Genomic DNA, 27718 nt, shown 5'->3' with positions numbered 1-27718 from the left:
AAATAATGCTGAGGTTTGGGATATGAATGATCTCATTACCCAGATAGTGAGCATAGTACCCAGTAGGTTTTCAACCCTTGCCTCCCTTCCTTCATCCCTGCTCTATTAGTCCCCAGTGTCTATTGTTGCCATTTTTATGTCCATGAGAACCCAATATCTAGGTTCCGCTTGTAAGTGAGAATGTGCATTAATTTGCTTAGGATAATGGCCTCCAGCTGCATCCATGTTGCTGCAAAGAACATGATTTTGTTCTTTTTATGGCTGCATAGTATTCTATAGTATATAAGTACCACATTTTCTTTATCTAATCCACTGTTGATGAACACCTAGATTGATTCCATGTCTTTACTATTGTGAATAGTGGTGCAGTGAACATGCTTGTGCATGTGTCTTCTTAGTAGAACAATTTATTTTCTTTTGGATGTATGCCCAGTAATGGGATTGGCTGAGTTGAATGGTAGTTCTGCTTTAAGTTCTCTGAGAAGTCTCCAAACTGCTTCCCACAGTGGCTGAAATAATTTACATTCCCACCAACAGTGTACCAGTGTTCCCTTTTCCCTGCAGCTTTACCATCAACTGTTGTTTTTTACTTTAATAATAGCCATTCTGACTGGTGTGAGATGGTGTCTCATTGTGGTTTTGATTTGCATTTCTTTGATAATTGTTGATGTTGAGCATTTTTTTTCATGTATTTTTTGGCTGCTTGTATGTCTTCTTTTGAGAAGTGTCTGTTTAATGGACTATAGTAGTAACAAGTAGTTAATTTGGTAGGTTGTGGGTCTAATTGTAATGTGTTTAAATATGCTGGAATTGTTTACACTAAAACCAGCAAAAATCATTTGAAAAATAAGAGCTGAGAAAACATATTTCAGCATTCATTGGGGTCTGTTTTGCTAAATTACACTCTCAGTGAATGATCAGCAAATTATGCCCATTTTAAATCTAAGAAATAAGGGAATTGATTTGGTTCTCATCTGTTTCAGGCATTTCCTAATGTCTCAGCATTGATTTTTAAATATGCTTTCAATTTTATAGAATTTGGTTGACTAATATGGCACGGGATCTAACCTGTATAGTAATGACAAAGTGCGACTGTTACACACTCTTTAAAGTAATAGAAAATTATTATATCTTTGGCTATCTCACAATATTTACATGTCAAGTAAATTATTTTATAAAAATCAGGCATTAAAAATTCTACCCAGAAAGTGTTGAACAATGAAGATATACATTCAAGAATGTGTGGTTCAGGAAAATTTACATAAATTTAAATGATACGTTTTTATGTACTGTAGTTTTCTCCAGAAGAAATCTGTATGCTTTCTGAAAACATGACTCTTAGATGTTTAAAAGCTTGTCAAATACCCTACAGGAAAGGTAATAAAGTCATTTTACTTAAAGCAAATCATTTTTTCAAATTTCCTCAAGCACATTTATGTAGGTACTGAGAGAGAACAGGAGTTCTTTTACACGTTTTAAATACACAGCACACCAGCTGCTACCCCAGCTATCCACTAGAGAAAGGGAGAATAACTAAATTTCTGTAGCAATGTGTAAAACTAAATTTATTGAAATCCCAGTGAAAGCTTTTGCTGTGTTTGGTATAATAGGGAAAATTCCATAAGATATCTTAGATTGCATTTTCTTCATGTTAATCTTTATAGTCCTTGTGCTCCCAGGTCAGTTTGTAAACATACTTCATTCATTTAGAATGAAAACTCTCACCTCAGAAGCCAACGAGGTTTGGTAATTACAGAACATTTTATTTCAAATAACGTGACTACTCCTTGTTGTAAACACTGGATCCATTGAATTTGGTTCAGAGAGGTTAGAGCTTGGTGACCCCCATTAGTTATTTTTCCTGGAATATATAAGAAATGAATTTGTATTCTAAAGTGTGTGGTTTTGATGTGCTGATGTCAGCCTTTCTTGTGTCTATATCCAATGCTTTCTCTTAGTTATATTTCTGGTTTCAAGTGCTTTTTTAAAATTTATTTTTCATTTATTATAAGAAGCCAATGTATGTATTGAGGATTACTCATATTTTCTTTCATTTTCTTCCTCTTTTCACCTATCCTGTGTTTTCTAAAAGTAGATAGAATCAAGTGTTTTTGTTCCTCTTAAGAAATCCCTGACAGGCCCATGACACTGGCTACTGCTGTAGCTGTACATTTCTATACATAATTGATGACTTGGGGCTAAGCAGACAGCACCAGTACACAAACAATATAGATTACTATACAGTGAGGGTTTTTAGTCTTTGAATTTTCCATTTTTGCATAGAAATAACTCCTTGCTAAGTAAGAAAAATTTCAGAAGGAATAAGTTCACTATAGTAATACATATTCTTCAGAGAACAAAGCATTTGCCAGCCATAGAAGATTTGGACAGTCTTAAGATTCTAACTTTACAATCCTGTCCTCCACTCCAGCCATGTCTCAACTTAGCAGCACTGGTAACATTCGGTTTTGCTGACATTTTGGTTACTAGTAAAATTTTTAAAAAACAAAGTTTTAGCACTGAGGAAAGTTAAATTTCCAAAGAGCACTTTTTGAGGTATTTCATAATCTCATTGCCCTTTCTGTGTCTTTGATTTCCTGGAAGATGAGAAGGCTGGTAGATATAACTGGTTATCTTTTCATGAAGCTTCTGTGAGAGATTGGTGCCATGGGAATGGTGTTTATTATGTCCCATTCACTATGCCCTGCCTTTCTTTTCCTCTAAGCACCACGAACACACTTCCTTGTCTACAGGCCTTTCACACATGCTGTTCTGACCCCCACCATTCCCTAAACCATTTTTAGGTGCCTTCCACCTCTACCCTTCTCTGGGCCATTCTTACTGATCATTTGGGTCTTAGTTTAGATGTTACATCTTTTGAAACCCCTCGCTCAGTTGGGTGAGGTAAGCAGCCTTTCCTTAACCCCATTATCTGGCCTTTACCTTTTTAGTTTGCTGCAACTAGACCGTAAGATCTTTTAGGATAGAGACCAGGCCACCTTTATCTTTGTTTCCCCCCTCCTCTTGGGTATGCCTATCATAGAGTAGGTATCCAAAAATTATTTGTTGAATGAAATCACAAAGATCCTAATAATATAAAATTGACTTGAAACATAAAAATAATGATATGGCTTGCTAGGTTTTAGATGATAAATTGTTCGAATTTATAGGTTTCCTGGATCTTTGTTTTTCATATTGTGATATATTCTTAAGCATGCTGTGATAATAGAAAAAATAGATTACAATTATGTTACACATTTAAATACTCATGAAACTGTTTTGTAATTTCAAATGACCAACTTAATAGAAATAAAATTAGTTGAAAAATAAATATAGCTGAAAAGTTATAATTGAAATTAAACCGAGTTGAAAAGGGAGACATGTATCTATGTAATTCTGAAACTTAAGGCTCATAGCTTTATTTTGATTCACTTTCTTTTTCAAAAATAGAATTTCTCAGAAGATCAAAGGTTTTCTGAATCCTAACATGTACTATCTAGTTCTAGATATCCAGAAGAGGACATTGTTTTTGTCATTGTTTCTTGGGCTGCCCTCATACCTTCAGAAAATACATTACACATATTGCACATATATGTATTTTTCTGTTATAACCAATGAAACATAAAAAGCTACCAAAGCTCTCACATGAAACTGCTGTTTGTTGTTTTTTGTTGTTGTTGTTTTCTTAATACTAGTTAATTTCAGAACTTATTCCACACAGTTCCCCAATAGAGTTGGTCATCAGTTTGTACCTTAGCTTCCTAGTTTATAAATCAGTCATTGATTTCTATGAGGAATAATTTTGAATTCCAACCTTATAAATGGAGATTGGGCCCATAAATGCTTTTTCATCCATAAGACAACTGAACTACAGTATAGAGTTGTGGGTGCTAAAATCAAACTGTTGGAGTCCAAATCCTGACCTCAAAAATTACAGCTTGACCTTGGGCAAATTAGCTAACCTCTGTGTGCATTGGTTTCTTCATCTGTAAATGGGGATGATAATTGTGCTTATCTATTGGCTTCTTTTCAAAATTATGTCACACTTGCAAAGTGCAAGAACAGTATCTAGGAGGAATGCTTAATAAATAATACCTATTATTCATGTATTTATTCATTCAAAAATATTAAATGGGCCCCTATTATGTCCCAAGCATTTCACTAGGTATGGGAAATACAAGATAGAGTAAAAATAAGCATGGTCCCTTTCCTCATAAAGCTTATAGCCTAGTGAAGGAGACGCAGGCATTAATGAAATAATCACACAAATAAATGTAAAATTACAACTGTGATGCATGCCATAAAGCAGATCTATAGTGCCATAAGAGTGCATATTTAGGGGGAATCTATAATGGCAGAAAGACTTCCTTGATAACTGAAGGAAGCTGATGTCTGCAGGTTGAAAGTGAATATAGCCCGGTCAAGGAATAGACCAAGGGCCCTGTGGCTAGCGTATAGAGAGCCAGGTGGAGAATGGAAAAAGATGGAAATGTAGGCAGGAGCAGATAATACAGAATGTTGTAGACCACAGTTATAATATTCGTCCTTAAAGACCAGTGGGAAACTAATGAAGGATTGCATTTCAATGTGGAAACTGTGTTGTAGTCTCCCAGAGCATAAGAGGTAAGAGAAGGTAGAGAAAAATGACCCCTTCCTAGATGTAGCATTGGTCTCAGGCTAAATTTAGAAACGAGCATTTGCCATTGCACTCTTGACTCCCTCTCTGTTCCTTCTACCTGGGTCATTCCACCTGAGCCTGTGGTTCCCACGTCACTGTTTATCCCTCTGCATCAAGCTAGTCTTGCCCATAAAAGTACCTCTTGCCTCAAAATGCTCGACCTTTCTTGCTTCTAAGCAAATTTCATTCAGATAGAAGTTTCAGATTCATACCAGTATTTAGAGGAAAGCATATTGACTAAGATGTGAGTAGCTTTCTTCCGGAACAGTGTTCTCCAACTTTTCGAACTCCTTTACAGTCTTAAAATTTGCTGACGACCAGAGAGAACAGTTGTTTATATGGGTGATATTTATCTATTGATCACATTTGAAATTAAAGCTGGAAAATTATTAATTCATTTAAAAATAATAACTTCATCATATGTAAATTTGCACATTTTTATGAAATATCACTATATTTTCCCAAACAAAAACTAGTGGGAAGAGTACTATTGTTTTGCATTTTGCAAATCTCTTTAATGCCTGGCTTAACATAAAACTGTTGGTGTATCAAATCTCTTTTGATATCACATGTCATGTAGCCTCTGGAAAACTCCACTATATAACTGCAAGAGAATGAGAGTAAAAAGGCAAATAATGTGTTAGTAATATAATGAAAGTAGTTTTTGTCTCACCGAGCCCTCCAAAAGGTCTTAGGAACCCGTAGGTCCCCAGGCCACACCGTGAAAACTACTACTTCAAAAGAAAACATGCAATTTTAAAATAGATGCTTATTAAGCCAAAAAGACTATCATCCAAGATGGCATTTCAGGTAGTCTACAAGTGAAATGAAAAGAATTCAGGCAGCGTGGCTCTAACCTAGTTCTGCTTTTCACCGCTTCTTCCGTGTATCTGTTTGAACCAATTAAACCCTCTAAAAATTCCAAATGATTTGTAGTGTTGGTAGAGATTCCTGTGAGTGTTTAGACAACATTGAAAATTCTTGAAACGTGATATTTTTGCATTGGTTACTGGTGTAAGGCATAGTCTCCATTCAAAGTAAACTGTGATTTCTGCATAGCTTCCCGTGAGCATCCGGTCACTTCATTTTCTGTAACAAAGACCCACTTAGATACTGCAACTTAACTGTGTTTATCTTTCAAGAACTGATTTGTGAGGTGAAGCTAAAGTAATGGGAGATTGTTAATCTCTGTGGTCTCTTCCGGGTCAGAAATGACATGATTTTATCTTATTTTCTTATGTAGCACACAAACGCTTTCTGAGGGCAGCTAAAAACATTTGGAATGATGCATCATTTAAAAATGAGTTTTGCTTCTCTGATTGACAGACTCGAAGAACAACATTCCTTTAGATGAGTTTTGTTGAATTTGTTTAAAAAATTCCTTTAGATGAGTTTTGTTGAATTTGTTAAAAATTCATTTTCATTCTTACCTTGTACCTGTAATATTAAGTTCCACCATCACTACTAGTGGGAATAAATTCTATCCTTTTTTTATTGATGTTAAACATATATTTCTATCAATTCAATATTAAGTACTTTATTATTGTACTTCACAATCATGAAAGTGCCTGCAGGGAAGAGGAAGACCATGCCCATAAAAAGACTACTAAATCTGTACTTCTCTTTAAATCAGTAGCTCATCATGGACGAGTAATGCTCTTGACCACTAGTTTATCTCCCACATCATTAATATTTTCTGTTCTTTAAGGAAGGACATACATAAGTGATTAAACATTGTAGAAGGACAATTGAGAAGCATTTACACTCCTTCATTTGAACTGAAATTTGTAGGTTATCTTTGAGATGTGTCACTCATAGATAAATGGTTAGGAACATGTTGGACTTAAGAGGTCACAGATGAGTGGCCCACAGGCCACATGCAGACCACAGATGTGCTTTCTATATTCTGGGTTTCCTAAGTTGCCCTCACTTCCTATTATTTTACTTGTGGCCCAATCTGCACATTCACCTTGCCAGTCTGGTGGCTGTCAGTATTTGAATTAGTAGCTCTATAGCAAGCAGTCATGTCTGGGGAAAATAGAAAAACAGAACCCAAGAAGATTACAGTACTGTGTTGTAAGAAATCACCTAATAGAAAATTGTTTGACAAGGATGTATAATTATTCATCTTTTAAATTCTTGGTCATATGAAAAAATAACTTTAAAGGTAAATGAAAATAATAGTTGATTGACAAGCATGCCTCAAAAATGACATTTATTATATAAAGATTTTTTAATAGCTTAACACAGGAGTTAGGGTATGAGATTATGAAACGGGGTTGTATCTTCCTCAAAGAGGTCATCCATCAAAACTTTGCTTTTTCATTATATTACTCTTCTTATTTATGTGCATTGTTTTATCTATAAAAAATATTTAATGTATATTTAAATATATAGAATCAACCACACAACTAATTTGTCAAATGCATACCTTTGCAGTGTTAGTTTATCTGGAAGGTCCCACAGCACCACCTAGTGCCCTGTATTTTATTTTGCATAATATTTTTATAAATTTAAGAATTCTTATCACATTTGAATATCAAATATGGCCCTGAAGCAAATATATGGTTTAAGTAGTATTATAAATAGAATGCTCTAAAGTAATTATTGCATGCTTTATTGAAAAATTTAAGTGAAACTCTAAAAAATGATGATTGTAAATTTTAATAATAGTACTATTATTAAAATTTACTGGTAAAAAAATTCACTAGTATTTCTAATTCACATATAAAGACATTCTTAAAAGATTGTTACGTTGTGTGTGATCTAATAGAACTATTGGTAAGGTTTTTGTCCAAAACAGATATTTATTTCTTCTTATTTTTTTCTTGTATTTGCTGTTCTCTAATAAATTAAAAGTAATTTTTTAGGCTTCCTCTTGGAGGTCATGATTTCTAAGTCTTTATACTTTTAACACTATCTACAACAGCTCTTATAAATTTCAGATAAAACTGTATAATCACTTTTTAAACTAGAATTGTGAGATATTTAGAGATAGATAAAATACTTCTACATTAAAAAATAAAATCAGTCAAATAAAAGAATGAGGTGTGCTTATATATTCTTTTATGGAAAGAGCTCCAGGAAATATAGAGAAGTGGGAAAAGATAAAGCTATGTACAGAATACTGTGTATAGTATGATTATCTTAAGAAAACTGTATAAATTTGAATAAGTTAAGAACGCTAGGCTAGATGGATGAGTAGGTGGGTAGAGGAATGGGTGGATACTGTTTTTTTTCTGTAAGGAATTACAAGAAATTGCTAATGTTTCTGAGTTGAGAGGGAGCTAGAAATTTTCAATTTTTCTTTGTACTTTTCTATACAACTAAAAATTTTCTAATGAGATTCATGTATAACTTTGTTTAAGGCCGACAAGGGTTATTTGTGTTTTAAGATTATGAACCATTTCATTGTTCCTTATAATATTTTCTGTATTAAAAACAAAGCCAAATTTTTAAATAAAAAACTAGTGTTATAAGGTTAGCATCCATCTCATAGATTTGTCTTTTTAGAAGGCTTTACCATACATTACTTTTTAATAGAACATGTAAGCCCCAAGAAGGCAGAGAACTTTTGTCACACTGTATCCTTGACTTCTGGAATTGTATCTGGCACATAATAAGTGCTCAGTAAATTAGCATTGAATGAATGAATGAGGACATATTATATTGTGTCCAACTACTATATAGAATACTATGTAATAATGAGATGTATTATGGTGAAATTTTATCCTATTTATGTATAAACATATGTGTGCATGGTTACATTCTTATGTCTGATGTTATTAAAACACTAACACTGATTCAAGTTAGTTCAAAATACAGAATATCAAAAACTCTAAATTATACTTTCAAATGTTTGTGTATGGCCATTTTTGGTTTTGGGGGGGTTTGGTTTTGCCTATTCTTAATAAAATATTTTATGCAACATATTAGCTATATTTGGAACTCAGTTATATTGAAATTCAATCCAAATGGTTACTAAAGAACAATACTGTGATCATTTCCCTCTTTTATTTAAATTCCTGATAATTCTATCTTAGTGACCTAATGGTTGCTACTTTTAAAGTTCCTGCAATTATACTTATATTAATCATAAAATGCTAATTACTCATTACATATATTCAATTCCTAACTACTAATTTAAAATTCCATGACATTTTATAAGCTACTGTTAGTGAAAATCCATTCATAAGCATAAGTTATATTGTTTTATTTTAAACATGCAGTGATTCATACTAATGTGCTGTGCATAGATTTTTTTTTAAACTGTCAAAGTGTGTAGAAGTTGCCCTCTACTGGGGAACTAGAAAAATTATGTTAACATAGATTTTCAATTTCCTTAAAGACTTAGGTAAATCCATTGATGTGATTTACCAGATGATTGCTTCTTGCTCTCTGGCACTTTTAAATTCTGAAGATATTGAAATGATTAGCAGAAGATATTTAAAAATAAATGTCTGATATGAATATATGTACATCCATTTCTAATATAAAGTCTTGGCTATTTCTTATTAAAAATTCCTTAGTAACAACACCCAATGGCTAAGGTCTAGAAGTAATTTTATTGGGATAAGTCTCTACTGAAACATTAAGGAAAATTAGCTGTATATACCTATGTAACTAAAAATGACTCAGTACTGTTTTTAATAATTCACCATAGAAATGTCCAGGTTAAAAGTCTAAAAGTCTAATCACTCTCTCTCTCTCTCTCTCTCTCTCTCCATATATATATATACACACACACACATATATATGTATATGTGTATATATATATTTTGTTTTTTGTTTTGTGCTAGAGCCTTTGCATTTTTGCTAGAGCCTGGGTCTTTGTTTTTTACTAGAGCCTGCATTTGCTAGAGCCTGGGTCATAAGGTGAAATTTGATTATGGCGAAGTGATTTGCTTGTTCTATTAGTTGTTGAACTTTTTATACCAAAAAAAGTCCATTGACCAGTTCTTATAAACTGATAAGACAGTCTTCTTCCTTTTGCTATTATTGCCTTTCCTTCTGCCCTTGAGAGTTCCATCAGGCTTTGGAGAGCACTGCCTTAGAGAGATTCAGAGTCTAGGATGCATCTCTAGGTTGTTAAGACCCCAATCACACATATATGTTTTTCTTCTCCTACCCCCTGATATTTAATAAAAATAAACATATTATTAAGGAGAAACCTGTTTAAAATTGGTGTCATTGGTGAGAGGTAGATAGGGAAAGAAGCAACTACTGATATTTAATAAAAATAAACATGTTATCACACACCGGGACCTGTCGGGGTGGGGGACAAGGGGAGGGAGAGCATTAGGACAAATATCTAATGCATGCGGAGCTTAAAACCTAGATGATGGGTTGATAGGTGCAGCAGACCACCATGACACATGTATACCTATGTAACAAACCTGCACATCCCGCACATGTATCCTGGAACTTAAAGTAAAATTAAAAAAAAAAAAACGACAAATGAAACTATAAAAAGGCAGGAAAACATGTCAGTAGAAGTGAGGATATGAGAAAAAATAAATGCCTTATCTGGTAGATTAGGCTTGGAGAAAAAATAATAAATAAACATGTTATTAGGGAGAAACCTGTTTAAAATTGGTGTCAATGGTGAGAGGTAGATAGGGAAGGAAGCAACTGCATACCCAGATCCTACTGCCTCTTTGTGTTGGGGGTGGCAGGAGGATCTGTGGACCAATGATGCTCATGTGAGGTGCAAACCTTTCTTAGGACCATTGGTTAATCCACCTCCTTCTCCTGACTGAAGCCTCTCTGAGTCACAAAGTTCAGAGCTGGTTTTCTAAGCTGCAGGAATGGCTCTGGCTAAGGAATATTATAAAAACCAGAGTAAATCAGACCATTGAAATATGAAACAAGGCAAGTGTAGTGCAGATGTCTCCATTCATTGTGTCCATCTTATACTCAGTATTGATCGTCACAGCTAGATCTAACAGCAGTGTGTGCCATCATTTAGACACGTCCAAAAGGAATAGATGAGCTATGCCAAACCTATTCATTTCACATGTGTAGACATGGTCTGGGTTTTTTGTTTGTTTATGTTAAAGTTCTGTTATAAATCTGAATAGTGATTTTGATTAAACCATTATTTTGAGTGTCTTATATAAAAGAGAATCAGTTTTTGATTATTTTAGAAGTTTATTTTAACATCCAGGAGCCTACATAAGAAGCCCCTTCCCCAAATCTCCCTCAAGTCACTTTCCATTGCCTCCTTTCTCTGTCCTCATTGAACTTCATACTATCCCCCTCCTCCATATTCCACGTCTCTGCCTTGCTTTTTCAAAAATGTTCTCCCATAGTCTTGTTGGTAATTCATGGGCCTTTTAGGGTAGGGATGAAAGTGCCTATTTCAAGATTTAATCTCTTTTAAAAACCTTCCTCTAATCTGTTCTAATTTTATCATCTATGTGTTTTTGTTTTGTTTTGTTTTGTTGCTTTATATGTATGGTAAATAATATAGTGCTGAGTAACTGCTTTCAGATCTTCCATATGTGAGCTTTGTTCTACTCAAGTGGTTTGTAGGAGGCAGTGTGGTATCAGAAATAAAGAACTGGGCAGGGAATTTGAGACACTAAAATGCTACTCCTTGTGTTTCCACTAACTCTGCACCCAAGAGTGAGAGACATTGCCTCCTTGGGCATCAACTTTTCAGTTTGTAAAGTGAGGTAACACATTATCCCTAATGTCTCTTTCAGCTAGAATTCTTTGATTTCTCTAAATTCTTAAAGAACTCCTATCCAGTATATCAACACAATGGTAGAGATCTTGGATTCTGGAACCAGACTGCATGACTTGCTTCCCATTCTGCCACTTACTGCTTGGGAATTCTGAACAATTCCTTGTCTATGTACCTCAATTTTCTCCTCTGTAAAATGAGAATTGTAGTGGCAGCTTTCTCATAGGTTTGTTGTGAGGACCAAATGAGTTAGTAAATATAAAGAGCATAGAACAGTTGCTGACATATACACAGTAGGCATTCAATAAATGTCAACTAGTCTCATTATTATTACAAACACAAGGGTTTTAAAACATTTCAGAAAGTGTGTGTGTTTCTTATCAAATGGATATGCTGCTCCATGAGAGAAACATTTGTGGACACACATTCATCTATTCATTTGTTCTTTCATTCAGCAAAAAAAATTATTGCATGCCTAATATTTGCCAGGCACTGTTGTGTTACAGACATCAATGAGCAGAATGGCAGATACACATTAAATCTTTTAAACCAGTGGGAAAAAACATCCATGTTACTCTAGTGACCTAAGAGAGTTACTTAGTGCCTTATTTTCATGTATTCCAACACCAGTGGCAAGTTATATATGTAATCGTTGACTCTAATTTTAATTAATATTATATATTTTACATTAATTTTCTACAATCTGTTTCTTAAATATCTTTTTCTTTTAAATTTTCTGCTTCCTCCTTTGCACATTTTTTTCTTTTTAACAACTCAGACCATCTCCTGATCTCTCAACTTTGTTTTTATTCCTTTTGTTGAGTTCTATCTTCTGACACTTCCTTAGGTTAGTCTCTATAAGCCTCTTTTCTATTCTCACCTATAAAATTAGGATAATCAATTTACTTACCAGAATTTTAAATTAGATAATGTTTGTAATGTACTTAGCACAGTTCCTAGTACATAATATACCTCAATAAATATTGGCTATTTTTATGATGGTGGTGTTTTATATCAACTGAACCATGATTCTAAAGCAAGAAATACTACAAGCTCCTATGTATAATATTCAGGCCATAGGAACTTTGGCTGACCATTGGATAATGTGAAATGATCCTCTTGACATTTTAAGAGAGCTGTGTATCTTGTGTGTAATGTTTGCAGTGCTACTAATAATTGGCTGCTCCATGTGTTCTCAGGGAAAATAAAACTGCAACCTCAGATTGTAGCTGTGTGCCCATGGTGGAGGCATGCAGGCCAAAGTGAGCTCTGTTAGGTCTTACTTTCACTGTGAAAGCTTATGTCTTTATACTCTAGTCTTCAAAAAATAAATTTTGATTTAGTTTCCTTTTGCTTCCTCCTTGGTCTAATATATACTCTGCAAATAAGCATTTTTAAGAAACTTCTTTAGAAAATTATTTATTGCCTGTTAAATCTAAAACTTAGAAGATGTTTACATGAAAATCTTTTGGAAAATGATAGAAAGTTCCCACATCTCTGTTGCCCTGGGCTCTAATTAAATTTCAAATTGTTTTTGTCACTCTTAACCTGGATAGAAAAAGCCAAATTAATGTAATACAGTTCTATGAGTTTACATTGCCTGAAGGTTTGCTTTTTCAGTTAAAAACAAAAAAGAGAAGTCATGAGTTTGAATGCTGTTTTTCATCTTTAACATATATCACTATATTAGTTCTAATCAGCAATGTACATATTATTCCACTTTTGTGTTCTTATATTTTTCTGTCCTCTTTTATATAGCTCTAGATATTAGAGCCCTAAACCCCACACATTCTGTCTGCTATTCAGCATCTTTAATTTCCCCCTCTGCACTGATCTCCATCCCTTTGCTTCCATTATCCTTGTAAAGGAGAACCAACTTTAGATTAGAAATGGTAAAGTAAATATTGACAAAGGAAAGCAGGTCCAAGATAGGCGGACTATCTGCTGGCCCAGACAAATTACATCATAGGATCCTGAGAAAACTGACATTTGAGATTCCTGAATCACTATCTTTGACAAATCATAAAGGGAAGGAGCAGAATCAACAGCTGCTGGGAATGTGCAAACATCACTGCAAATACCAAAAAGAGGAAGAAAGTGGATTGTACACACTATTAACTAGTAATTTTGATATCAGTCTAAAGAAAAATTAAAGAATGGGTCATTAAATAGTGGGTTGTAAGGAGTTACAAAGGAACATGGTGTGATGTTTAGAAGCCAGCGTGGGTTCACTCAAAGCCAAGTTATTAAAAACAAGTTTGTTACACTTATTTCTGTTTGAAATATAATTTCTAATTCAAAGCAATACTTCAGAGCAGAGATCTGCAAACTATGGCCCTTGGGCAAATCTTACCATGCCAATTTGTTTACCTATTGTCTTTGGCTGCTTTCCAGGTACAATAGCAGAGTTGAGTAATTGCAGAAGTGTCCCTGCAAAGGCTAAAATAATTATTACTTGGCCTTACACAGAAAAAGTTTGCCAACCTCTGCTCTAGAATCTAAATCCATTTTTTAAAATTTTAATATGCCTACAAATTACCTGGGGATCTTGCTAAGATGCAGATTATGACATAGTAGTTCTGGGGCGGAGTCTGATATTCAGCTAGTTCTCACAAGCTTCCAGGTGAAATCAATGTTGCTGGCGCTTAGATCACATTTCAATCTAGTGAGGATCTAGATTTCAAAAAGATATTTAGCAGATTCACCCATTTTAAGACAACAAAGAGAGTAAATAAATTATGAGTTAGAAGTCACTTCAGTTGGTTAGAATCTTGTTTAAATGATAGTGTTCATGAAGTGTTAGGCAATCAATGTCACCTTGGAGAGAAGTTTTTCTGGTCATTTCAAAATGATTATCTTATCATCATTTCCTTGTATGGAAATATTAGCTCAGTGGTGGTATTTGATGGGAGCAATAATGGGCTTGATAACTCATATGTTTAGATGACCAATATCAACTGGGTTGGTCTGCGGGACAGTTCCTCTGTTGGGCGACAGTTCTCTCTGTGTCTCATATTTCTATACATTTTGTCAGCAGAGGCACTGACTGCCTTTTGTTCTCAACTCTGGAACAAAGGGCAGCTTTGCTTTCTGCCTCTTATAAAAGATTCAGGTTCCCTAAGCTCAGTATTCCTTTCCTGGAATGCAGTCCACTGCTTCTGCAGGCATCCATTCGAGCCCATCTGCATCACCTGCTTGACTTGGGGACAAGGGGAAATGACACCAACATCATGCTTAGGCTGCTTGCTGTTCTATGAGTGGTAAAATCCTTTGGCTCTGATCCAGGACTCTTTTTTTTTTTTTTTTTTTTTTTTTTTTTTACAACATCTGTGGCAACACTTTAATGAGTTAAAAAGAAAGAGACAATAACATTCTATTACAATGCTCTTCCAAAAGTTTTTGGCAAAAACAAAACAAAACAAAACAAAAACCTTCAACTATTGAGGATCCCCAAACACTGACATCATCTTCTCCTGACATCCAGCCATCCACATCGTCATAGCTCATTCATCCAGGATCCAGGACTCTTGAGCCTTCTGCCAGCATACTTGAATGTGTGGCAGGCCGACTTGTCATCTTGAAAGTGTGGTAATCTCAGACCCTTCACCAACTTAGACTCTTTCCCAATAGTCGTAACACAGGTTCCCAATCACTGACTTTCCCCTTCCTCTGCACCCATCTTCCCCTCATTTTAGTAAAATTCTTCATGTTCTACAAAACAGAGAAAAGAGAAAGTCTTACATGAAAATGTCTTCAACTTTCCAACATCAAGCATTCAAGCCTATGTTCATCTGTACCTACTATAACCTCTGCTCTTCTTTTACAATAAAGAGATACCTACCCTCTGCTGTTCTACAAGTTAAACCCTCTAGCTGTGCTAGGGCTCCTTCCCTGCTGCCTCTTTAGTTGCAACAGGTAAAATTCCTTCTCTTTACTAAATCTCTATTCCTGTGACCCCCTTTTGCCTCTTTTCTATGAATTTTAAGAATCCTCAAGATTCTTTCAAAACAAAGCAAACAACAAAACCAAAAACAACGAACTCCATTTACCACACTTTCATTCTTCTTACATTGCTGCTGTTGTTTCTCTCCTCCTCTTTACAGCTAGACTTCTGGAAAGACTTGTCCAAATTGCCTCTTTTCCCTCCTTACTCAGCCCTCCATGTACTCCAATTTAACTTTCACACTAGTCATCTATTGAAATTGTTTTCATCTAGCCTTCAATAAGCTTCAATCTATAGTCTACATTTCTTAACTTATTTTCTGTAGCAGTAAATCACCACACCAAGCTATATGCTGAGGACTACTCAGCTGTTTTCACTGTCCAGACCCTATTCTGAGTTTCAGTCCCATAAATCCAGCTATCACAGTATCTCTAGTTGGAGGCCTTGCAGATACCTCAAACTCATCATCTTTCCCAAGAAAAATGAGTCTGTGCATCCCCAGTTCCACTCTGGCTCAGTAATTGGCTCTATGATCTCCTGTTTGGTCAAGAATCACTTAACTCAGAAAACTAAGAAACTGTTCTTCCTTCTGTTTTGACACTCTCCCCACAAACTTAATTGAACAGTCTACTAGTCTAGTTTTCAAATACGTTTTGAATCTGTTCTGTTGGTCCATCTTGATGACTAAGATCCCATCGCCTTAGCCCAGATCATCTTCTGCCTGGAGTCCTGAATAGCCTCCTGCTTAGCCTGCCTCACTCTAATCTTCTGCTTTAATGTGTTCTCTAAAGTACACACGGAGTGATTCTTACCTAACCACAGAGAGCACTGTGCCAGTTCTATTGCCCCTCCCCACACCCATGGCTGCATAAACTCTTCCAGTGTCTTCCTCTTGCTTTGAAGTGAAGCCCAAACTCCTTACCATGGATTACTAGGCTTTTCTGATTCATCTGTCTTTTAACTTCATCTCTCACAGCTGCACTCCTCACGTTCTGCTCTTCGCTTTCAGTTTCTATATGTTCTTCTTGCCTTCAGTGCCTTTATAGTCTCTTCCCTCTGCCTGTTTCCTCTCCCTTCCCTTCTTCTGTTCTGACTCCTTTGCCTGGTTAACTCCTTTTCTTCTTTCAGTTTTCATCTTAATTGCTTTCACCTCCCTATTAAGCACTCTCATAGCTCACTGTAATGTTCATTTTGAACATTATCATTTTATTGTAATTGCTTAACTGTCTTCTCTAAAAAACGTTGAGGGCATTGATTGTGTATGTGTCATTCACCTCTGTGTCTCATCATCTAATAGGGTCTGGCATGGTAGTCACTAAGTAGGTATATGTTGAATGTGTCAGTGACAAATCAAAATCTGAAAAGATAATAGGCCAAATCTAATAAGCTAATGTTTAATATAAGTGTAGAAGACCCTTAATTTTGGCCTGAAAAAAATCACACTTTTTTGAGAATGAGATGATAGAGGTATTTTTTGATCAAAGTATTAAAGTTAGAGAGGAACCAGGTAGAACTGCTTTCTCTGGTGGGAACTGTTTATGGCATACACTATTATGACATAAACCATATATTCACCTTTTCCCCTCGGCACCAGTAATATAGGATACATGGTACTCAATAAATGTTTGCTTAATTAAATGTAATGTCGTTAGGACAAGCCAGCTGCCATTCCTGTAAGGCCTCACTGAGTGACATTGCTTTAATGGGATCACCACAATCCAGGAATAGGTCCATATCTTTACATATCCAGAAATATCATCAGCACACCTTAGTGTGGTTATGTTCTAGGAGACTGATGTCAACTAGTCAGTGTGCTATCTTCCTGTCAGAAATGCTACTTGGAAAACAAAATTATTACTAAAAGTTTTCTTGACAAGCATGGTGTATTATTCTGTCCTTGCATTGCTATAAAGAAATACCTGAGACTGGGTAATTTATAAAGAAAAGAGGCTTAATTGGCTTATGGTTCTGCAGGCTATACAGGAAGCATAATGGCCTCTGCTTCTGGGAGGCCTCAGGGAGCACTTACTCATGGTGGAAGGCAAAGCAGGAGCAGGCACTTCACATGGTGAAAGCAAGAGCAAGACAGTGAGCAAGGTAGGAGGTACTACACACTTTTAAACAACCAGATCTCACAAGAACTAACTATCATGAAAATAACACCAAAGGGATGGTGCTAAACAATTCATGAAGGATCCACCCCCGTGATCCAATCACCTCCCACTAGGCTCCACCACCAACATTGGAGATTACAACTCAACATGAGATATGGGTGGGGACACAGAGCCAAATCATAGCACGTGATCTCAGACTAGAGAGAATTAACTGGACAATGTCAGTGGCTAGTATTATCCAGCTCAAATAGTTGGATGCCTCTGTCTTCACAATAGTGTACCGTGCCTAATAAACAAAGCAGCATGTTCCTGTCAGCTGCTAGACCATAACTGCTAAATGTTTGATTTGGGCATGTTAAGATCCTTAGTCTGTGAAGGTCTAGTTGTAAAGGGGAAAGTATAGTCAGAGGAGAGGAAAGAGGCCCTTGCTCACCAATCCACCACCACTTTCTTTCTAACTACCCTTCCCTAGGCTCCTAATGTCTCTTTCTTTCTTTCTAAAAGTTTTCTCAGTTATGTATCTTGACATTCATGCTTATAATGTCATATTCTTTGGAGACTATATACCCTGACCATTTTGTTGAAATTTAGATGTGTCCAGAATTCCCTATACCACCTCTTTATAATTTGTTGCTTAGGATTTGTTGACCAGTCTCACTCATTAAATATTGGTTTGACATCATTTTATTCTTGAAGAATAGACTTTTCACTAACTGTTTAAGATATCACTATATACTGACCACAGGACAAAAGATGAAGATAGCCTGGAGGTTTAGATTGACAGTAATCTTTTTTTTAAAATGATATTTCCATTAATACAAGTTCAGAAGAAGGGAGTTGTCAAAGTATAATTTTCGAAAAGTTAAGAACATGATTTTCTTATACATACAGAATGAACACCTGTCAAACATTTATTTAACTGAATAATGAGGAAACCATCAGGATGGTAAAGCTAGTTCTGGGGAGATTATAAAAATGGGGGTTACCCAGGCCATTAGAAAAGCATACTGAAATAAGTATGCTAAATTAGAGACAAAACTGGCCAATGCCTACAGGGCAATAAAACCATAGTTATTGTGGTTATTTTTTCTACTAGACAGAAACCATTTCCATCACTACTGAACAAAACTCTGTAAGTTAACATATACTTTTATAGTCTGAATCTTAACCAATAGTAAATAGAAGTTAAACAAAGGTGGTTAAGTAAACCTTGGATTGGCTGATAGATAATACTCCAAGATGACATTAAAGGGACATGCTGTCCTCTTGTTGCCTCATTTCCAAGTTTTGGTCAATTGTTAATAAGTGAGATTGACCCATAAATGTGGAGCCTTAAATTTATCTGGGTGAGTGTACGTCTAAGAGAAAGCTCAGAACCCTGCCCTAAGAGGAACAGTGGAGGAACTGAGGACTTTTGTCCTAGAGAAAACTTACTGTAGGGTCTAAAATGCTAACTTCAGCATTACTCTTAAAATATAACCCTGAGGAAATAGCTGAAGAAGGCATAGATTTTATTTACACCATTCAGGAGCATCATTTAAAAGGCCATCACCAGGAAGGAGGGTGAGACCTGCCCTAAATTGCTTCAAGGGGAAGACAGAGCAGCAGTGATAGTGATTTGGAAGCAATATAAGAAAGAGCTTTCTCTTCATGAGAAAGCTTCAGCCAGACCACTGTTTGCCTGAAGAGCAAGGGTGTCTTCTCTCTGGGAGATTCTCTGGCAAAGGCACAGCCATCACAGTTCCCATCTGTATATAATGCTGTCCTACTTCATAGAATTGTTGTGAGGATTACCTAAAATAACACAAAGTCCTTAATACAGTATGCAGCATAAGTACTGCATAAATGTTAGCTTTTATTATTTTAATAATAATTGCGATGACTTCCCCAAAACTTAATTATGGTGCTCTTGTCAGAATGAATGCATCATGGCTGACTCATTTCCTAATGCAACTGAAAAGTAGGTTTCAGCGTTATATAAGGACGTGAGGGAGACAGAGAGAGGGGTTCGCACTTTAGATGAGGACTAGACCAGGGTATCTCTAAGATCCCTTTCAAAACTGATATTCTTTATTCTGTGAAAACTGAGTTAATGCAGTATCCTGGAGACAAATCTAAAAAGTCAATTTTAATATCTGTGTGATCTTTGTAGTTGTTGCAGCAAAACCTCTTGATAACATTTTCTATTTCAAAAATTTCATAATTTCACTTTAGTTTTGCCTTTTTTTTGCATGTCCTATTGCTGAGAGAAGCACATTCACAGTTTTGTTGTCTTGCTGTTATTTGGGGCTTTTTGTTTGTATTTTGATGCAGCTAAATCTATCTAAGATTTAACACTCTTTCTTTCCACTAAAGTCATTGAAATACATTCACCTAGTCATTCACATCTGAGGTGTAAATGGATTTTCTGAAAGTTTTTTCAGGAGACAACGAAAGCCAGTCAGTTTGTGACTTGACTTCTTCAGGTGTTGCAATCAGAAAGCTTTATACACCATCCCAATTGCAAGGATGCTAAATCTATGTCTTACCTTGAATCTGCAAGGAGGAGGTAACATCTTTTGCTAGAAGTGCTTATCTCCTACCACTTTGGTTTTATCCATTTTCAGGAGAATTTACTTAGGAAAGAGAAAAGAGAAATAATTAAATTGAGCTGCATATACTCAAAAGAAAATAACATGTTTATTTAATTTTCTAGCTTTCAGTGATTGTTGCTGATGCAGTTTAAATGTTTAGCTCACCCTTTTTACCACTGATATTTGCAAAAACTTGACTCTAAAAAAATGTATCTGCCATATGACATGAAGGCTTACTTCTTAATTTGTTTTATGTTATCAAAAAGACATACTGAGCCTGAAACTCCTCTCAGATTTACTCTTAAAATACAACCCTGAGGAAATAACTTAACAATGCAAAGATTTTATTTACACCATTCAAGAGCACAGGCTCTGGAGTCAAGGGGAGGTTCAATTCCTGGCATTGCTTCTTCCTACTTCACTCAGTCTCTCTGAGGCTCAGCATTCTTACCTAGTAGATGGGATAATATAATAATAGTACCTATGTCAGAGAGTGTGAGGATTACATAAAATAACATAGCTAAATCCTGGGTACAATATCCAACATAAGTACTACATAAATGTTAGTTTTTATTATTTTAATAATAATCATGATGACTTTACTAAAAATTATGGTGCTCTTCTCAAAGTGAATGCCTCCTGGCTGACTCACTTCCTAATACAACTGAAAAGTAGGTTTCAGCATTATACAGTGATTCACTCTTAATGAACCTGAACAGCTATTCTTGAGAAAATAAGAAGGAATATTAAATCCAGAATTAGCAAATCCTTCCTATTTGCTAGGAAACTTTTACTATTTTGGGAACAAATGTTATAAGTCCTTGGAAGAGCTGCAAAGAAACTATCATGTGTCATTGACTATCCATTAGAAGTATTCAGGGAGAAAAACCTGTGGATAACAACACTTTTCTATCTCACTGATTTTCTTTAGTATCATTATGTTGAATTCTTTTTCAGGCATTTCATAAATTTCCTTCTCCTTTGGATCTGTTACCAGAGAATTATTATGTTCCTTTGAAGGTGTCATGTTTTCTTGCTTTTTCATATTTTTTGTCCTTACTGCACATCTAGCATAACAGTTGCTTCTTCCAATTTTATAGATTGGCTTTAGTAGGGAAAGAATTTTTCCTATAGATATATCTATAGTGTTGGTTTGGTAGGTTGCCTTGGCTTTGATTCTGGATGGGCACAGTATTGTAGTCTCTGTATTTCTTCAGCTGTAATCAGCTCAGTGGTGTCTGTTGTGGTTGTTAGTGGAGGCTATGGTGAGGCATTTTGGGGGATAGGGACTCCAGACAGTCCAGTCCATGGACCCCAGAGGTGGTGGTGGAGTGCAGAGTGGACCTATCCTCAGGCCTGGGATGGTTTGCATAGGTTCTGGCAGTAGTGGGCAGAGTGAGTCCCAACACTGTGCATGGGTGCTGGCAGCAGCAGTGGTAGAAGAGGAACAGCTTCTCCTAAGGTCCACCGATGATGCAAACAGGTGTCAGCAGCAGTAGGTGGGGCAGATTAATTCCCAGGCCCTGGAATGTTGTCCATAGGCACTGGTGGCTGGAGTGGCAGGTGAGAGAGGTCTCTCCTCAGGCCTCCCAATAGTCCACACAAGCACCAGTGGTGATAAGGAAGTGTGGGTAAATCCCGAGGCCCCCAGACAACATGAACATTAGTAGCACACAGGGAGGCCCGTCCTCAGGCCCCCACATGGTGCACATGGGTGCTGGTGGGAGGGATGGGTTAATCCCCAGGTTCTCAGACGACCTGTGCAGGTGGCAGTAGCAGGTAAGCCAGGCCTAGTCTTAGTGCCCTAGAGGGTGTATGTTGGTGCTGGTAGTGGAGGCAACAGGCAGGGTGGGCTTCTCTTGAGGCCTCCCAATGGTGTGCACAGGCGCCAGTGGCAGGGAGCAGGGTGGGTCATTCCCTAGGCCCCCATATGATGTGCAGAGGTGCCAGTGCACTTGTGGCAGGTGGGGCTGGCCTGACCTCTGGTCTGCAGACGGTGCCTGCAGATGCCAGTGAGTGGCATATATTGATCTCCAGACCCTCAGATGATGTGCACATGTGCCAGTGCAGGCAGAGTGGGCCTATTCTCAGGCCCCCCAATGGTGCACATGGGCGCTAGATGCAGTGGCACAGGGGTGGGGGCTATCAATCCTCAGGCCCCTGGACAATGCGCACAGGTAGTTGTGGCAGCGCCGGTCGCAGCAGTTATATCATTCTATATTGAACCTTGTTTATAGATCAGTGTCCTCTACTGGATTATAAGCTGTTTAAGCATAGGGACCATGTTGTACTTACTCTTGAATCTCTTGGATGAGCCCAGTACCCAGTATATAAGTGGATGTTTAATTATATGTTTAAACAAATCTGCTTGAAATTGAATGCCTCTCATATAGACTGAGTCAGCTAGATATTTTCATTTTTATGTGGCCCTGTAAAATTTGGAATTCCTCCTAAAGTCTGAACTTAGTACAAGTCATTGAAGGACAGTAGCCCTTCGAAGTTATCAGTTATTTGTCATTTAGCACATTTGGCTCTCCTAAATGTGTTAATGAGAACCTGTTTCATAGATACCAATGGAGTTGATAGGCCACAATACCTGTTTTAATAAGTAGGATTTAAAGTGATTCTTAGATTAAAATATTGTATTCTCTTTGGCCAATTGCAAAAGTGTGCACAATAAAAAATGTTCATTCTATTATTTAATAACAAAACAAGTCTGTCTGTGGATATTCACATGTGTATATGCCCCAGAAAGTCATGGTAGCATTGTTCATTTAAGGTAAGCCAGTCCCTCTTGGGCCACATGCAAAACACTTGAGTGACTGTTATGACACAGGGACTTTCATGTAAATACCAAAAGGACTTTTTTTCTTCCAAAAGTAATGAAGTAGTCCCAGATCTGGATCTTGGACACTGTCTGGATATATAGTACCTCTGTCTATCTGTCTCTCTCTCTCTCTCTCTCTCTTTTTCTGTGTGTGTGTGTGTGTGTGTGTGTGTGTGTGTGTGTGTGTGTGTGTGTGTCTGTCCCTCTCTTTTCTGTCTTAGGCACGCACAACCTCAGATTCTCTGAAATTTTAAAATTCCAAGTAGAATTCATTAATAAAAATCTGAAATGTTTTTTCTGGTATAAATCATAATGAAATGTTGAGAGACAAAGGAAAAACTAAAACGGGCAAATAATCATCTGCTGCTCCAAAACTGAAGCCTGTCATTACAACTCCCAACTCAAACACTTAGTTTTAAAGATTTGCCTTCAAGAAACCTAAAAGCTGGTATTCTGCCTCATTGGCAACAGCCTCAAACTGTTCCCTGTCATCGAAGAAAACAAATCTTTTGCTCATTTCTGCCTAGGGGAGGCAGAGGGACCGAGGTGGTCCTATGTGGCTGAATTAGATGAAAGACTTGCCTTCCACCATGGAGACATGAAGTCTAATCAAGTGAAATGAGTTTTGAGATCCCAGCTCATTTCCTAGGGGAGACCAGTTCACATTACAAAATCATGACATCTCATTCATCACAACTGACGTGGTCTTTGCTCAGGAGAGGACCCCAACTGGGACTAAACCACCTGTCTTCTCTCAAAAAGGGGCATTTTATCCAAGTTAGAGTTGAAAGCCTTGGAGTGAGGAAGCTTGCCAGCCACCAGCTTCTATCTGTATGATCCACGTGCAATGTGGAAGGGAATTTAGGTTTACAAAAGGAAAGATGAACCTAAGGCAGATTGGTGGTTGTGCTTTCAGGCTGCCAAATACAAATAATTGTAATAGAGATGTTATTATGGAAGAGAAAGCTAAGATTGGGACTCTCCCCTCTTTATCTCCTAGATTTTATTAAACAGCAGTGAGAAGATAAGCACTCCTATGCCTCAGAGTTTAAAATGGCAAAGAAAGTGTCCTGCTTTCCAGGCTGATAAATGATCATCCTCTCTTTTATTTCTTTCAGGGCATCGTTATAACACCCCTGCTCCTGCTGCTTTTTGTGAGTATTTTGATGTTGTCTTTAATATATTTTATTAAAAGCTATCTACAACCCTTTAAGAAAGGTCATTAGAACAAAAATGAAATTTGAATTATTTTGCACCATATTTGGAATTGTTGTTCCAGTTTAGCTGTACCGCATAATAATATTCAGATACGAAGAAGCTTCATAATTTCATGATCCAAGAACAGGATCAGGACCCAGTCATTAGGCCTCCAGCTCCTGGCTAAATCATTATATTACAAATAAATGACCCCATGACACAGGTTACAAAAACTGCGCTGCTCTTTATTTTCTCATTAGTAAAACTAAAGTGATTGATAGTGACCCAGTGTTTGATAGTGTTTAACAGAAAGAGCCCTAGGACCAGGGATCAGAGGAAGCTTGGGTTCCAAGGCTGATACTGATGATAACTAGCTTCCTCACCTTGGGGAAGGCTGCCTCAATTTTTTTCATCTGTAGAATGGGAAGTAACACCTCCTCCATTCTATCGCCCAGAGATAATGAAAGGTGCTTTAAAAATTAAAAATACAAATCAATACACGCTTCTAGTTAACTAAACAAAAACTGTTCTGAAAACAAGAAATGCTAATTAGCTGTCTTATTTCTTTTGGCACTAAGCATATGAGAAATTAGATGAAAGATTATAATAGAAATTAATGTTATCTCATGCTGAGCAAGGCATATGTAATCATGAATGATACCTAAAATATTTTATGAACTGTGCATCTTTTCATACACACATCTTCCAAATATAAATCACTCTGCTTATCACTGAAATGTAGTGGGGATGTGTTTCTGGGAATGTAATGTAGCTGTTTGACTAACACTATTTATCAGTGAATTAAAACTATGGGGAAAATTTATTTAATTGTAGTATAATTACCCAAGTTGGAATTCAATTAGAGTAATAGAATGAGGGACTTCATTTCTTACCCGCTGAGTAGGAAATAGGGAGGGATAGATATACTACTAAACAGTTGGATTCCACATCTTTCATGAAAGACATTACCTTCAAGTAATAAACCTCATCCTTACCCTCCCTTTTGAAATGCTGGCTCCATTTTGACAAGGTAAGAAGAGTCAAATAATCAGATCACTTTCCTCAGCATAACAAACTTCATTGACATGGACTTCACCAACGCAGAATTTTCAGTTAGTTAAATTGAAACCAAAGAGACTATTTGCATTAATTTGGAAGAAAAGACTTATTATGTAACTACCTGCTACTAGATGTGAGAAACTGGAATCATCCATTAGTTTATTTCCAAGACCTGGGATCACAGGACAGTTTCCCAGATGCAACCCTTGGTGGGCACAGGATGCAGGCCTGTCTGAGGTCCCCACTTGCAGTAGGTCAAGGGACTAGTATAGAGCTCAGCATCTGGTAAGTGCACAATGAATGGCTGCATCACCTGGGTTTTCTTCATTATGGAAGAGAGACATCTCTTACTCATGTAACTCATTTAAGAAGAGCGGGGGAGATGTTACAGCCACAATTAGGTGGCTGAGGCCTAGGTTGTAACATCTTGGAGTATCTCAGAGGCTGGAATCTCTGAGACCCTTTTTTGACTTGTGATTAAAGAACCAAAGAGTTGGCAATGCAGGCTCTTTTTTGGTTCCATATGAAATTTAAAGTAGTTTTTTCCAATTCTGTGAAGAAAGTCATTGGTAGCTTGATGGGGATGGCATTGAATCTACAAATTACCTTGGGCAATATGGCCATTTTCACGATATTGATTCTTCCTATCCATGAGCATGGAATGTTCTTCCATTTGTTTGTATCTTCTTTTATTTCGTTGAGCAGTGGTTTGTAGTTCTCCTTGAAGAGGTCCTTCATATCCCTTGTAAGTTGGATTCCTAGGTATTTTATTCTCTTTGAAGCAATTGTGAATGGGAGTTCACTCGTGATTTGGCTCTCTGTTTGTCTGTTATTGGTGTATAAGAATGCTTTTGAATTTTGCACAATGATTTTGTATACTGAGACTTTGCTGAAGTTGCTTATCAGCTTAAGGAGATTTTGGGCTCAGATGATGGGGTTTTCTAGATATACAATCATGTCATCTGCAAACAGGGACAATTTGACTTCCTCTTTTCCTAATTGAATACCCTTTATTTCTTTCTCCTGCCTGATTGCCCTGGCCAGAACTTCCAACACTATGTTGAATAGGAGTGGTGAGAGAGGGCATCCCTGTCTTGTGCCAGTTTTCAAAGGGAATGCTTCCAGTTTTTGCCATATGGAACCAAAAAAGAGCCCACATTGCCAAGTCAATCCTAAGCCAAAAGAACAAAGCTGGAGGCATCACGCTACCTGACTTCAAAATATACTACAAGGCTACAGTAACCAAAACAGCATGGTACTGGTACCAAAACAGAGAGACCAGTGGAACAGAACAAAGCCCTCAGAAATAATACCACACATCTGCAACCATGTGATCTTTGACAAACCTGACAAAAACAAGAAATGGGGAAAGGTTTCCCTATTTAATAAATGGTGCTGGGAAAACTGGCTAGCCATATGTAGAAAGCTGAAACTGGATCCCTTCCTTACACCGTATACAATAATTAATTCAAGATGGATTAAAGACTTACATGTTAGACCTAAAACCATAAAAACCCTAGAAGAAAACCTCCTAGGCAGTACCATTCAGAACATAGGCATGGGCAAGGACTTCATGTCTAAAACACCAAAAGCAATGGCAACAAAAGCCAAAATTGACAAATGGAATCTAATTAAACTAAAAACTAAGGAGCTTCTGCACAGCAAAAGAAACTACCATCAGAGTAAACAGGCAACCTACAGAATGGGAGAAAATTTTTGCAATCTACTCATCTGACAAGGGGCAATATCCAGAATCTACAAGGAACTCAAACAAATTTACAAGAAAAAGCAACCCCATCAACAAGTGGGCAAAGGATATCAACAGACATTTCTCAGAAGAAAACATTTATGCAGCCAACAGACACATGAAAAAATGCTCATCATCACTGGCCATCAGAGAAATGCAAATCAAAACCACAATGAGATACCATCTCATACCAGTTAGAATGGCAATCATTAAAAAGTCAGGAAACAACAGGTGCTGGAGAGGATATGGAGAAATAGGAACATTTTTACACTGTTGGTGGGATGGTAAACTAGTTCAACCATTGTGGAAGACAGTGTGGTGATTCCTCAAGGGTCTAGAACTAGAAATACCATTTGACCCAGCCATCCCATTACTGGGTATATACCCAAAGGATTATAAATCATGCTGCTATAAAGACACATGCACACGTATGTTTATTGTGGTACTATTCACAATAGCAAAGACTTGGAACCAACCCAAATGTCTATCAATGATAGACTGCATTAAGAAAATGTGGCACATATACACCATGGAATACTATGCAGCCATAAAAAATGATGAATTCATGTCCTTTGTAGGGGGACATGGATGAAGCTGGAAACCATCATTCTCAGCAAACTATCACAAGGACAAAAAACCAAACACCGCATGTTCTGACTCATAGGTGGGAATTGAACAATGAGAACACATGGACACAGGAAGGGGAACATCACACACTGGGGCCTGTTATGGGGTGGGGGAGGGGGGAGGGATAGCATTAGGAGATATACCTAATGTAAATGATGAGTTAATGGGTGTAGCACACCAACATGGCACATGTATACATATGTAACAAACCTGCACATTGCGCACATGTACCCTAGAACTTAAAGTATAATAATAATTAAAAAAA

At 36.8% G+C, this 27718-nt stretch overlaps 1 protein-coding gene across 11 annotated transcripts in view, besides 5 other annotated features; it reads left to right on the top strand.

The window, feature by feature from the left end:
• Positions 1–27718, top strand: part of SLC10A7 (solute carrier family 10 member 7) — a 267960-nt gene that overhangs the window by 172003 nt on the left and 68239 nt on the right. For 10 of the 11 annotated variants that reach the window (XR_007057973.1, NR_133924.2, XR_001741332.3 and 7 more), the window contains one exon: positions 23942–23977. Coding sequence is in view for 5 of the 11 variants with exons in the window: in NM_001317816.2 (NP_001304745.1) it covers positions 23942–23977 (36 nt within the window). In the remaining 6 variants the exon portion in view is untranslated. Of the gene's footprint in view, positions 1–23941; positions 23984–27718 lie in introns of those variants that run through there. The other variant, XM_047416249.1, reaches the window with a different exon arrangement.
• Positions 15815–15904: an enhancer, noted in NCBI's record as "active region_21986". NCBI's record gives its function as "activates an Ori minimal core promoter by ATAC-STARR-seq in GM12878 lymphoblastoid cells {active_cell/tissue: GM12878}" and the evidence as "EXISTENCE:reporter gene assay evidence [ECO:0000049][PMID:35858748]".
• Positions 15915–15964: an enhancer, noted in NCBI's record as "active region_21985". NCBI's record gives its function as "activates an Ori minimal core promoter by ATAC-STARR-seq in GM12878 lymphoblastoid cells {active_cell/tissue: GM12878}" and the evidence as "EXISTENCE:reporter gene assay evidence [ECO:0000049][PMID:35858748]".
• Positions 16085–16154: an enhancer, noted in NCBI's record as "active region_21984". NCBI's record gives its function as "activates an Ori minimal core promoter by ATAC-STARR-seq in GM12878 lymphoblastoid cells {active_cell/tissue: GM12878}" and the evidence as "EXISTENCE:reporter gene assay evidence [ECO:0000049][PMID:35858748]".
• Positions 16235–16344: an enhancer, noted in NCBI's record as "active region_21983". NCBI's record gives its function as "activates an Ori minimal core promoter by ATAC-STARR-seq in GM12878 lymphoblastoid cells {active_cell/tissue: GM12878}" and the evidence as "EXISTENCE:reporter gene assay evidence [ECO:0000049][PMID:35858748]".
• Positions 19848–21047: an enhancer, noted in NCBI's record as "MED14-independent group 3 enhancer chr4:147250043-147251242 (GRCh37/hg19 assembly coordinates)". NCBI's record gives its function as "activates an origin of replication core promoter dependent on BRD2, BRD4, P300/CBP and CDK7 cofactors, and independent of MED14, by STARR-seq in HCT116 cells {active_cell/tissue: HCT116}" and the evidence as "EXISTENCE:reporter gene assay evidence [ECO:0000049][PMID:35650434]".

The sequence above is a fragment of the Homo sapiens genome, chromosome 4, assembly GCF_000001405.40.
Source record: "Homo sapiens chromosome 4, GRCh38.p14 Primary Assembly".
Lineage (NCBI taxonomy): Eukaryota > Metazoa > Chordata > Mammalia > Primates > Hominidae > Homo > Homo sapiens.
This window is presented reverse-complemented; position numbering and strand designations above follow the sequence as displayed.